This window comes from Homo sapiens, chromosome 6 (genome assembly GCF_000001405.40).
Source record: "Homo sapiens chromosome 6, GRCh38.p14 Primary Assembly".
NCBI classification, from domain to species: Eukaryota; Metazoa; Chordata; class Mammalia; order Primates; family Hominidae; genus Homo; species Homo sapiens.
Window position 1 is genome coordinate 36,888,544 of NC_000006.12, and position 12,273 is coordinate 36,900,816.

The window sequence follows — 12,273 nt, forward strand, 5'->3', positions numbered from 1 at the left end:
GAATCTCTTGAAGCCAGGAGACAGAGGTTGCAGTGAGCTGAGATCATGTCACTGCACTCCAGCCTGAGCGAAGAGTGAGACCCTGTCTCAGAAAATAAAAATAAAAAACTGGACAAGGTAGAGAATGGATTGGGGAAGAGGAGAACTGGAAGTATAGAGATTAACTACATCTTTGTGATGGTCCATAGGAGAGATGTTGAAGACCTTAACTGTGCTGTTAATGTAGAGAGGAAGGGATGAATGTGAGAATTATATAGGAGGCTGAATCAAGAGGACTTAGTGATAGTTTCATTGGTGGGAGTGAGGTAGGAGGAGAATAGTTTTTAAATTTGGAGGATTAGTGTTTCCATTAAGAAAAGAGGTGCAGTGGGAGGAATGAGTTGAAGGGGAAAACAGTAAGTTGGGTTATAGACACATTACATACAGGGAGCTATGGGAAACTTGGATCACCGTGTCTGGTAGGCAGGTAGATAAATGGGTCTTGAACCCTAGAGAGAGTTGTAGACTGGAGAAGAGATTTGGGAATCACCAATAGCTGGTGGTCAAAGTGTTGGAGGGAATAAGAAGGTCAAGGATAACTGGTGGATACCAGCAGAGAACGAGAGAATTATGTTAAGGTTTGAGTACACTTGAGGGAGATAGATAATGGGGTAGCAACAGCAGCTGCTGCAGAGAGGTCAGATAAGGTAATAACTGAAAAAAACGTCCTTCGAACTTGGCGTTTAGAAAGCCATTTGTGGCCTCAGTGAAAGCAATGTCGGTGGAGTGAGGAGGCAGAAATATGATTTCAACAGGTTAATAAATGAATGGAAACCTGAGAAACAAGAAAGTGTGTTACTTTCTCCCCCCAACCCCCAAAGGAGCTTTCCTCTGAAGGGAGGGAGGGAGAGAGTACCAGAAACTTAGAAAGGAACTATTATGGCATTTTTCTGATAGTAGAAACTGGAAAGGGTGAGGATGGAAGCAAGTAGAGGTAAGCTTAAAAATGTGAAGACTTCTTCAAGTATGTCAATGTCCTAAAAGACCAAAAAACAAAAACAAAAAAAAAAAGAAAAACCACACACTGGGGACTTGTTCTGAAGTTAAGTAGATTAAAGAGAGGCATGGCAGCCAAATTCAATGTGTGGTCATTGGTTGGATCCTGGATTTTTAAATAGCTATATGATCTTTTTAAAAAAATTTGATAGTTAAGGAAACTTGACTATAGACTGAATATTAGGTAATATTAAGAGATTACTCATTTTAATGGGTATGGCAATAATGCCAATGGTTGTGTGTAGAATAACGTCGTTATTCTTAGGAGATGCATGTTGAAATATTTAGAAATGATTTTATAATGTGTTGCAAATAACTTTCAAGTAGTTCTGGTAAAAACAGAAAGAAAATATAGCCAAATGTAAACAACTGGTAAATCTAAATGAAGGATATCCAGGTGTTCATTGTACTATTTTTGTACAAAAAGCTTTACACATTTAATGTGTACAGCTTGATGAATTTGGACATAAGTATGCCCTTGTGAAACCATCACCATGATCCATGCCATCAACCTATCCATCACCTTCAAGTTTCCTCCTGCCTTCTTACTTATTATTACTATTAGCAATAAGAACACTTAACATAAGACCTACCTTCTTAGCATATTTTTAAATATACAATACAGTATTGTTAACTCTGGGCACTGTGCTGTATAGTAGGTCTCTAGGAGTTATTCATCTTGTATAACTGAAACTTTGTATTCTTTGCCCAGTACCTCCCTGTTTCCCCCTGCCTGCAGCCTCCTGCAACCACCATTCTGTTCTTTGCTTCTATGAGTTTAGCTATTTTAGATTAATCGCACAAGTGGTATCATGTAGTATTTATCTTTCTGTGTCTGGCTTATTTCACTTAGCATAATGTCCTCCAGGTCCATCCGTATTGTTACAAATAGCAGGATTTCTTTCTTTTTTAAGGCTGAATAATATTCCATTGTATGTATATACTACATTTAAAAAAAAAATTTTATTCTTTTGACACAGAGTCTCAGTCTGTTGCTCAGGCTGGGGTGCCATGATGTGATCTCTGCTCACTGCAACCTCCACCTCCCAGGTTCAAGTGATTCTCATGCCTCAGCCTCCCGAGTAGCTGGGATTATAGGCATGCGTCACCATGCCTGGCTAATTTTTGTATTTTTAGTAGAGACAGGGTTTTGCTATGTTATGTTGGCCAGGCTGATCTCCAGCTCCTGGCCCCAAGTGATCCACCCGCCTCAACCTCCCAAAGTTTTGGGATTACAAGTGTGAGCCACTGTGCCCTGCCTGTACCTTGATTGTAAATTTTAAGCATTTATTGTAGTTTTAAGTTATTACTCTTTTAAATCGTATTAATCATTTCAATGTTTTATCAGTTATTTTTCCTTTTAATTGATGTTTGTTTCTTTGTAGTGGTTCTTATTATAATCTAAGAAGCACTTTTTCTTTTTATTATTATTATACTTTAAGTTTTAGGGTACATGTGCACAACGTGTAGGTTTGTTACATATGTATATGTGTGCCATGTTGGTGTGCTGCACCTATTAACTCGTCATTTACATTAGGTATATCTCCTAATGCTATCCCTCCCCACTCCCCTACCCCACTACAGGCCCCAGTGTGTGATGTTGCCCTTCCTGTGTCCAAGTGTTCTCATTATTCAATTCCCACCTATGAGTGAGAACATACGGTGTTTGGTTTTCTGTCCTTGCGATAGTTTGCTCAAAATGATGGTTTCCAGCTTCATCCATGTCCCTATAAAGGACATGAACTCATCCTTTTTTGTGGCTGCATAGTATTCCATGGTGTATATGTGCCACATTTTCTTAATCCAGTCTATCATTGATGGACATTTGGGTTGGTTCCAAGTCTTTGCTATTTGTGAATAGTGCCACAATAAACATATGTGTGCATGTGTCTTTATAGCAGCATGATTTATAATCCTTTGGGTATATACCCAGTAATGGGATGGCTGGGTCAAATGGTATTTCTAGTTCTAGATCCTTGAGGAATCACCACACTGTCTTCCACAATGGTTGAAGGAGCACTTTTTCTTTACTAGAACATATATTTAATTAATGGGATCACTGGATAAAATAGAATGGAATATATTCATAACACTAAAGAATGGATACCATACTTCATGGGTAGTGTAATATTAAAGAGCCAAGTAGAGAAAAAAGAAAATTTAATTTACTCTGGATATAGCTCCTAGTGTTGAAGATTGGGATGTATCTTGATGGACTTTTGAAACTTTCTTTTGAACTGTACTGTTTCCCCTTTTGTGCTTTAACTAGATGAATCAGTTTTCTATCCTAGAGTTACCTCGCTGGCATAGCTCTTCAGAAAACAGAACGTCCAGGGTAATGGCATATCAGTGTTCAGGACTTACTTATCTCTATAGAGGAATTAGTTCTCTGTTAAACAGGGCAAAAGAGAAGTTTACATTTCTCTTAACTTCTTTTCTGCTTTAAAGAAACATTTGTATTGGTAAGTTCTATCAGAGTTTTTCTGTCAGATATGCCTCTACCCTGTTTCTTCATAGGCAGAGACCCAGAAGGAATTGTGGAGAACATCTCATCAGAGCTCTCAGTTGTCTCCTCCTATTTCTGAAGTACTCCAGAAGTGAAACAACTCCCTGGCTTACCTCCGACAGGCCTCTCTTGAAAGCAAGGTTTCTTGACCTCGTTTTGAGGAGGGGTAGGAGGAGGTTCTCCTGTGCATTGCAGGATGTTTAGTCTTTACCCACCAGATGCTAATAGTACCCCTCCAGTTTGTTGATTTTTAATTTTTTTAAAAGAGCTGGAGCCTCCCTGTGTTGCCCAGCCGGGAGTGCAGTTGCTGTTCACAGGCGTGATCGTAACTCACTGAGCCTCTAACTTCTGGCCTCAAGTGATCCTCCTGCCTCAGCCTCCCGAGTAGCTGGAACTATAGGCATGTGCTGCTGTGCCCAACTCCTGTCCAGTTTTGATAATCAAAAATGTCTTCAGACATTGCCAAATGTCCCCTTTGGAGCAGAATTACCCTGAGAACTATTGTTGTAAAGTAGTGTCTCTTAATTGGGGGTGTGTGCCTTTAATCAGCAGAGAAGAGGCTTGAAAGCGTACACACCTGAGCTCCACTCCTAACAGTTCTGGCAACTTAGCATATCCGAGGTGGTGCATGATACTTTGATCCTAATAACTCCACTAGTGATCCTGCCTGTGCCCTTGCAGGTCTATGCCACTGTTAGAATCAGGCTAACTCTTCAGAACTTCCCCCTGTAGCAAAGCTCACTTTGGCCAGAGTTGGAACTACTTTCTGCAGGTAAGTGGATTGCCATCAAGCCTCAGCCGATTTCACTCAATCCTCTCATGCTTGATGCATAGTAATGACCTTATGTTTGAATTTTTTTTTTTTTTTGAGACGGAGTCTCGCTCTGTCGCCCAGTCTGGAGTGCAGTGGGGCAATCTCTGCTCACTGCAAGCTCTGTCTCCTGGGGTCACGCCATTCTCCTGCCTCAGCCTCCCAAGTAGCTGGGATTACAGGCCTCCGCCACCGCGCCCGGCTAATTTTTTGTATTTTTAGTAGAGACGGGGTTTCACTGTGTTAGCCAGGATGGTCTTGATCTCCTGACCTCGTGATCTGCCCGCCTCGGCCTCCCAAAGTGCTGGGATTACAGGCGTGAGCCACCGCGCCCGGCCTTGATTTTTTTTTTTTTAAGGGATGAGTTTTTTTGTTCTTGTTTAATTACCATCGTATCCAACCAAATCCCAATAGTGTCCCTCTAGCAAGACAATAAAAAATGTCTCCAGGCATCCCTGGGGGCAGAATCTTTTCCAGTTTAGGACGACTGATATAACCAAAGCCAAAAAGAGGGCTTATCACAATCCACAGGTATTCTTAGAAACGTCACTAAGTTGCTATTAACTACCTTTCTGATAACTTGAGAAATGTGTCATAATCTCTCGGAAGAAGGATGCATGGCTTGCAAAAATATATTCAGTGTTTTAATATCATTTTAACTTGAATTACCCAACAAGAAAAGAAACGTATTTTTTTGTGTGTGATACAAACTGGGAGTTTAATAAGATTTTTATGTGTATCAAAAAGGCTTACAGGCCAGGCGCGGTGGTTCATGCCTGTAATCCCAGCACTTGGGAGTCCAAGGTGAGTGGATCACTTTAGGCCAGGAGTTTGAGACCAGCCTAGCCAATATGGTGAAACCCTGTCTCTACTAAAAATACAAAAATTAGCTGGGTATGGTGGCATGTGCCATTTTTTATTGTCTTGCTAGAGGGACACTGTTGGCATTTGGTTGGATATGATAGTAATTAAACAACAAAAAATATCATCCTTTAATCCCAGCCTGTAATTCCAGCTGCTCAGGAGGCTGAGGCATGAGAATCGCTTGAACCCGGGAGGCGGAGCTTTCAGTGAGCCAAGATTGCACCACTGTGCTCCAGCCTGGGCAACACAGCGAGACTCTGTCTCAAAAAAAAAAAAAAAGGAAAAAAAGGAAAAAAAAAAGACTTGAGGAGGCTTACAAAGGTTGCAAAACAGCCATCAAAAATAATGATGATTAATCCTGTTTTCCTCACCTGTACTTTTGTCCCCTTCAGGATTCTCCTACCGGCACACCGTGTTCTCTTCTGTGTGTGATGTTCTCTTCTGCCTCAGGGATACTTGCTTGTGACCCCACCTCCCAGCATCCACACTAGTTTTTCACTGGAATTTGTTTCTAGCAGTCCTTTCTGGATCCTTTCCATTCTGGTCCTCTACTGAGTTTTAATGGGTTTTGACTGGGTATTGTTAGATAATGAATTGTAACATATTTAAATGAATATTATTCCTACTTGCTTTCATAGAATGTCTTTGTTAGTTTAAACAGGAAAATGGCATCTCAGAATCACTGATCACAAAACCAAGATGTGAAAAATGTTGTAATAAGTTATCCCTTTACTCTATTTGCAGGAATCATTGTAGTCAATCATTTTCCAGTTCTCAGCCGCTCAGTTGTGATCAAGGGACACGTGGTTTCCGAACTGCCAGCTCAGAATAGGAAAATAACTTGGTAAGGGAGGCAGCATGCAACAACCCTGAAGTCAGGACACTTGGGTTCACATCCTGGCAAGTTATGAAACCTTTCTGAGCCTTGAACATGTATGAAATGGGATCGATCACAGCTACCTTATGGGATCACAGTGGTGATTCACTGAGATAATATTTCCAGAGTGTTTAGCAAGGCACCTGGCATATAGGGTGGGAACAGGAATAGGAGTGCAATTGAACATGAGTCTTCAGTTTCTAATGAATTGAATTTTTCTCCTTCCTGAAGTGTTCATAGATTCTTAGAATTTTAGAGCGAGACTCTAAAATTTGTAGTCCAATCCTCTTATTTTTTGGATGCAGAAGTAGACCAAGTAATTTAACCGAAATCATCTCACTAGCAATTGGCAAAGCTTGTCTCCAGGTTCAATGCTGTTTCATTTTTCCAGCTGTAATATTTGAATACAACTCTATAGAGAACCAAAAAGTCATTGGCATGGCAAATCATGCCTTGCTTCTTCCCTATGGTGCCATGGTCATGCATTGCTGTACATCTCTGACTCATTTTGTGCCCAGTGATGTTCCTTAGAAGTGACTGTGAGAATTTTGTGATTACAAAATTGATACAGGAAAAGTTTGGGAAATATGAAAGTCACAAAGAAAATAAAAACCAGCTGTGATCTCATTTTCCAGAGATCATCTACTCCTGAATTATTTTTAATTGGAAATGCTACATCTTAATTTCTGGGGGTTTTTTTGGTGTTATTGTTAGTATGGCTCTTAATGCTTTGTAATCCATCCTCCTGGCTGCTAATCAAAAATGGCTTAGTGAAAAGAATGTGGGGTCGAAATGAGGCTCAGGTGACAACCGACTGGGTGGTCTCAGATAAGTCACTTCCCATCTGGAAATCTACTTTATATCTCTATAGATTTGCCTATTCCTTGCAGGTTTGTTAAAAAGGTATTAAGAAAAAAAAGATGTGTCTATTCCTGACTTCTCATCTAAATGCAGCTATATAATCTGTAGTTTTTCGTGACTGTCTTCTTTCACCTAGCATAATGTTTTCAAGGTTCATCCATATTGTATCATGTATCAGTACTGCATTCCTTTTTATCGTCCAGTGATTTTGCATTATATGGCTCTACCACATTGTGATTATCCTTTCATCAGTTCATGGACATTTGGATTACTTCCATTTGGGGGCTGTTATGAATAATGTTGCTGTTCACATTTGTGCACAAGTTTTTGTGTGGACATATGTTTTCATTTGTCTTAGGCACATACCTAGAAGTAGAATTGCTGGGTCATATGGTAACTGTGTTTAACTCTTTGCGGAACTGCCAGGCTGTTTTCCATAGTGGCTGTACCATTTTATGTTTCAATTCCTCCATGTCCTTACCAACACTTTTTGTCTGACTTCTTGATTGTAGCTATCCCAGTGGATGTGAAATGATATCTCACTGTGATTTTGATCTGCATTTCTCTGATGGTTAATAATGTTGAGTATCTTTTTGTGTGTTTATTGGTCCTTTGTATATCTTTTTTTGAGATGGAGTCTCACTCTGTCACCCAGGCTGGAGTGCAGTGGTGTAATCTTGGCTCATTGCAACCTCTGCCTCCCAGATTCAAGTGATTCTTCTGCCTCAGCCTCCCAGATAGCTGGGATTACAGGTGCCTGCCACCACACCCGGCTAATTTTTGTATTTTTAGTAGAGACAGGGTTTCACCATGTTGACCAGGCTGATCTCGAACTCCTGACCTCAAGTGATCTGCCACCTTGGCCTTCCAAAGCGCTGGGATTACAGACGTGAGCCACTGCACCCAGTCCATTTGTATATCTTTTCTGGAGAAATGGCTATTCAAATCCTTTGTCTATTTTTTTATTTGGTTGTCTTTTTATTACTGATTTGTAATAATTCTTGATGTATTCTATATAGACCACCCCCTTATCAGATATATAATTTGCAAAAATTTTCTCCCATTCTGTGGCTTGTCATTTTACTTTCTTGATGGTATTGAGACACAGAATTTTTGAGGTTTTTCCCCTCCTCTTGTCTTCTACAAAAAGTTTTTAATTTTGATGAAGTCCAATTTATTTTTTCTTTTGCTACTTGTTCTTTTGGTATCATATCTAAGAAACCATTGCCGAATCCCAGAATCATGAAGCCTCCCTCTCTGTGTTTTCTTCGAAGTTTTATCATTTTAGCTTATAAATTTAGGTATTTGATCCATTTTGAGTTAATTTTTGTGTATAGTATAAAGAAAGGGACAGGCATGGTGGCTCACACCTGTAATCCCAGCACTTTGGGAGGCTGAGGCAGGCGAATTGCCTGAGGTCAGGAGTTCGAGACCAGCCTGGCCAACATGGTGAAACCCCGTCTCTACTAAAAATCCAAAAAAATTTGCTGGGCGTGGTGGTGGGTACCTGTAATCCCGCTACTTGGGAGGCTGAGGCAGGAGAATCGCTTGAACTCGGGAGGCGGAAGTGGCAGTGAGCCAAGATCGCGCCACTGCACTCCAGCCTGGGCAACCAGAGCAAGACTCTGTCTCAAAAAAAAAAAAAAAAAAAAAAGAAAAGAAAGAAAGGTCCAACTTCATTTTCTCATTTGTGGATATCCAGTGGTCCTAGCATCATGTATTGAAAATAATACATTAAAAATTATATAGCTGTCCCTTGGTATATGTAGGGTATTCGTTCCAGAATCTCCATATACACCCAAATCCTTGCATATTCAAGTTTCACAGTTGATTCTTCAGAACCTGTTTATACAAAAAATCATCCCTCTGTATATGTATATGCAGTTTTTGCACCCTGAAAATACTGTATTTTCAATCCTGGGTTGGTAGAAAAAAATCAGCTTTTAAGTGTATCCACATAGTTCAAACCCATGTTGTTCAAGTCTCAACTGTAGTTTGTACTGTCTTTTTATCTGAATGTGGGGGGTATAGTGTGGTGGGCTCTTCTCTCATTCCCCCAGTTCCTGGAAGTCTAGATTGCATGCCTTTTAATCCACCATTAGAAGTCTTCTGATTCTGATTTAATTGCTCTGAGTTGATGCCCAGGTATGAGCATTTATGAAACGCTCTCTAGGTGATTCTAATGTGCAAGCCAGGTTAAGACCTAATGAACTAAACACTTAATAGTCGTAAAGAGGACCAAACAGGAGTGATTGGGAGGCACACTGCTGGAAGAGGAGGTGTGCTGGCGTGCGCTGGGTTGTGTTGTAACAACATGACTATGTCCTCCACCCTACAGGTGGCAGCATCTCCTTACTGAGAGAATACACGTACTATGTCAGTACTTTTTGGGGCTAGAAGTACTGTAGGAATGAAGTATGCAAAATAAAAGGACCCTCTGTATTGAAAATAAATATATAAATAAATAAAGCCCAGTAGAAGAGAGCACAAACCCGAAGAAGCACTCTTCTTCCTCCTGTAAATGAAGAAAAATATTATTGTTCTGTAACTTAAACACCTTTTTAAATAGCCATTTAATTATTTTATCTTATTTTATTTCTCTAGAGATGGGATCTCGTTCTGTCTCCCAGGCTGGAGTGCAGTGGTATGATCATAGCTCACTGCAGCCTCAAACTCCTGGGCTCAAGCAGTCCTCCCACCTCAGCTTCCCAGGTAGCTGGGACTACAGGTGTGTGCCACCAGGCCAAGCTGATTTTTAAAATTTGTTTTTCTTTTCTTTTCTTTTCTTTTTTTTTTTTTGAGATGGAGTTTCGCTCTTGTTGCCCAGGCTGGAGTGCAATGGCGTGATCTCGGCTCACCACAACCTCTGCCTCCCGAGTTCAAGAGATTCTCCTGCCTCAGCCGCCCGAGTAGCTGGGATTACAGGCACCCGCCACCATGCCAGGCTAATTTAGTATTTTTAGTAGAGGCGGGGTTTCTCCGTGTTGGTCAGGCTGGTCTTAAACGCCGGACCTCAGGTGATCCGCCTGCCTCAGCCTCCCGAAGTGCTGGGATTACAGGCACGAGCTATTGCGTCCAGCCTTGGAACTATTTAATTTCATTTTACAAATGATACAGAGAGAACTCTACTTTGCCCCATTAGTTTTTACCTTTTGTTCTCTGGGCATGATGAAACAATCTGTCTTTAAAATAACTATAGGAACACAAATTGAATTTTTAAATTAGTTAAAAATCTTAGGTATTTTAAGTATATAAAATACAAATAAAATGCCCTTTATTTTCTAAAATTGTATTTGTAGAAAAGCATGAGGACTCTGGTTGCTCCAGAAGAAATTAAAAAAAAGAAGAAGAAAGAAAAGTGTGAGGACTGCAAGCCACATGCCATGGTTTTTGTGTTGTCTGAAATCTTTGCTCTGCCAAGAACAAAGCTTATCAGCCTGTTGCTCTCAGTAAATCACCTTCAGTAATCTTCAGTGATCAGTTCTTCCTCTTGTGTTGAACACAAATGTTCAACAACAGCGTTAAACAACACTGTGCATAATCCATTTTTTTTTTATTTTAAGGAATCTCCAGTAGCAGATCTCCCATCATTGGTGTCAGAAATCTTTTTTGGATGTCATTAGTGCTTCAGAGTCCCATTAGGATATATTGTGCTCTAGACCAGTGCTCCTCAGTTTGCACTAGTTTGGGAACTAGTGCAGGTCTGTAAACTGTTCCTGGCCCACAGTTAACGAATATTTTAAAACTTGTATGGCAATTTGACATTGTCTCTGTGTATTCATTGTGTTTCATGAAAGTATTGGTCTGTAGAGGATTGAGGAAAGCACAAAACTGGTCCTTCTCTACAGATGGTCAAGTAGCTTTGAAGAGGAAGTACCTAAAGAAACCACCTTTCTTTTTACATTTATTTTCTCTCCGTCTCTCTCAGGGATTTTATATTGGAAGACATGGATCTTGCTGCCAACGAGATCAGCATTTATGACAAACTTTCAGAGACTGTTGATTTGGTGAGACAGACCGGCCATCAGTGTGGCATGTCAGAGAAGGCAATTGAAAAATTTATCAGACAGCTGCTGGAAAAGAATGAACCTCAGAGACCCCCCCCGCAGTATCCTCTCCTTATAGTTGTGTATAAGGTAAAATGTTTCCTGAGTTGGTAATTGCTTCAACAGAACACAAACTGTTCAACATTCTTCACAAATGCTATTGTTGACTAATCCCACCACTGAGCATTGGTTTTTCCGTGAATAAATTGGCCTTTGCTCTTGTTACCATGTGTTACTAGGAAATTTGACTGTGTTGTTAAAGGTCCTAGATGAAAGCTGCATATTTACAGTTAAATTATATTTGTGTAATATTATTATTTAATTTTTTATTATTTGTTTGTTTGTTGTGTGTGTGTGTTTTGAGACGGAGTCTCACTCTTGTTGCCTAGGCTGGAGTGCAATGGCGCAATCTCGGCTCACCGCAACCTCTGCCTCCTGGGTTCAAGTGATTCTCCTGCCTCAGCCTCCCAGGTAGCTGGGATTACAGGCGTGCGCCACCACACCCAGCTAATTTTGTATTTTTAGTAGAGACAGGTTTTCTCCATGTTGGTCAGGCTGGTCTTGAACTCCTGACCTCAGGTGATCTGCCCACCTCAGCCTCCCAAAGTGCTTGGATTATAGGCGTGAGCCACCACGCCTGGCCTTGTGTTTTGTTTTTTTTTGTTGTTTTTTTTTTGAGATGGAGTCACACTCTGTTGCCCAGGCTGGAGTGCAGTGGCGTGATCTCAGCTCACTGCAACCTCCGCCTCCCAGGTTCAAACGATTCTCCTGCCTCAGCCTCCCAAGTAGCTGGGATTACAGCCATGTGCCACCACACCTGGCTAATTTTTGTATTTTTAGTAGAGACAGGGTTTCTCCATGTTGGTCAGGCTGGTCCTGAACTCCTGACCTCAGGTGATCTGCCCTCCTCGGCTTCCCAAAGTGCTGGGATTACAGGCCTAAGTCATCGCACCTGAACAGATTTTTTATTTTTCTAGTCAAGGTCACACTGTGTTGCCCAGGCTGGAGTGCAGTGGTGCCATCATGGCTCACTGCAGCCTCGAACTCCCAGACTCAGGTGATCCTCCCATCTCAGCCTCCCAAGTACCTAGGACCACAGGCATGTGCCACCACACCTGGCTAATTTTTCTATTTTTTGTAGAGATGGGGGTTTTTCCGTGTTGTCCAGGCTGGTCTCGAACTCCTGGGCTCAAGTGACTTGAGTCCAGTCAATCACTGTCAGACTGAGTTCGAGACTGCCCACCTCAGTCTCCCAAAGTGCTGGGGTTACAGG

General features: G+C 41.1%; 1 protein-coding gene across 11 annotated transcripts in view; it reads left to right on the forward strand.

Annotated features, from left to right (window-relative positions):
• The window catches only part of C6orf89 (chromosome 6 open reading frame 89), a 57,121-nt gene that overhangs the window by 16,700 nt on the left and 28,148 nt on the right, over positions 1 to 12,273 (forward strand). For 7 of the 11 annotated variants that reach the window (XM_047418339.1, XM_047418337.1, XM_047418340.1 and 4 more), the window contains 2 exons: positions 5,961 to 6,060; positions 10,883 to 11,090. In XM_047418339.1, coding sequence (XP_047274295.1) covers positions 10,902 to 11,090 — 189 coding nt within the window. In that variant the 5' untranslated portion in view covers positions 5,961 to 6,060; positions 10,883 to 10,901. Of the gene's footprint in view, positions 1 to 5,960; positions 6,061 to 9,563; positions 9,683 to 10,882; positions 11,091 to 12,273 lie in introns of those variants that run through there. The other 4 variants (XM_047418342.1, NM_001286636.2, NM_152734.4 and 1 more) reach the window with 2 other exon arrangements.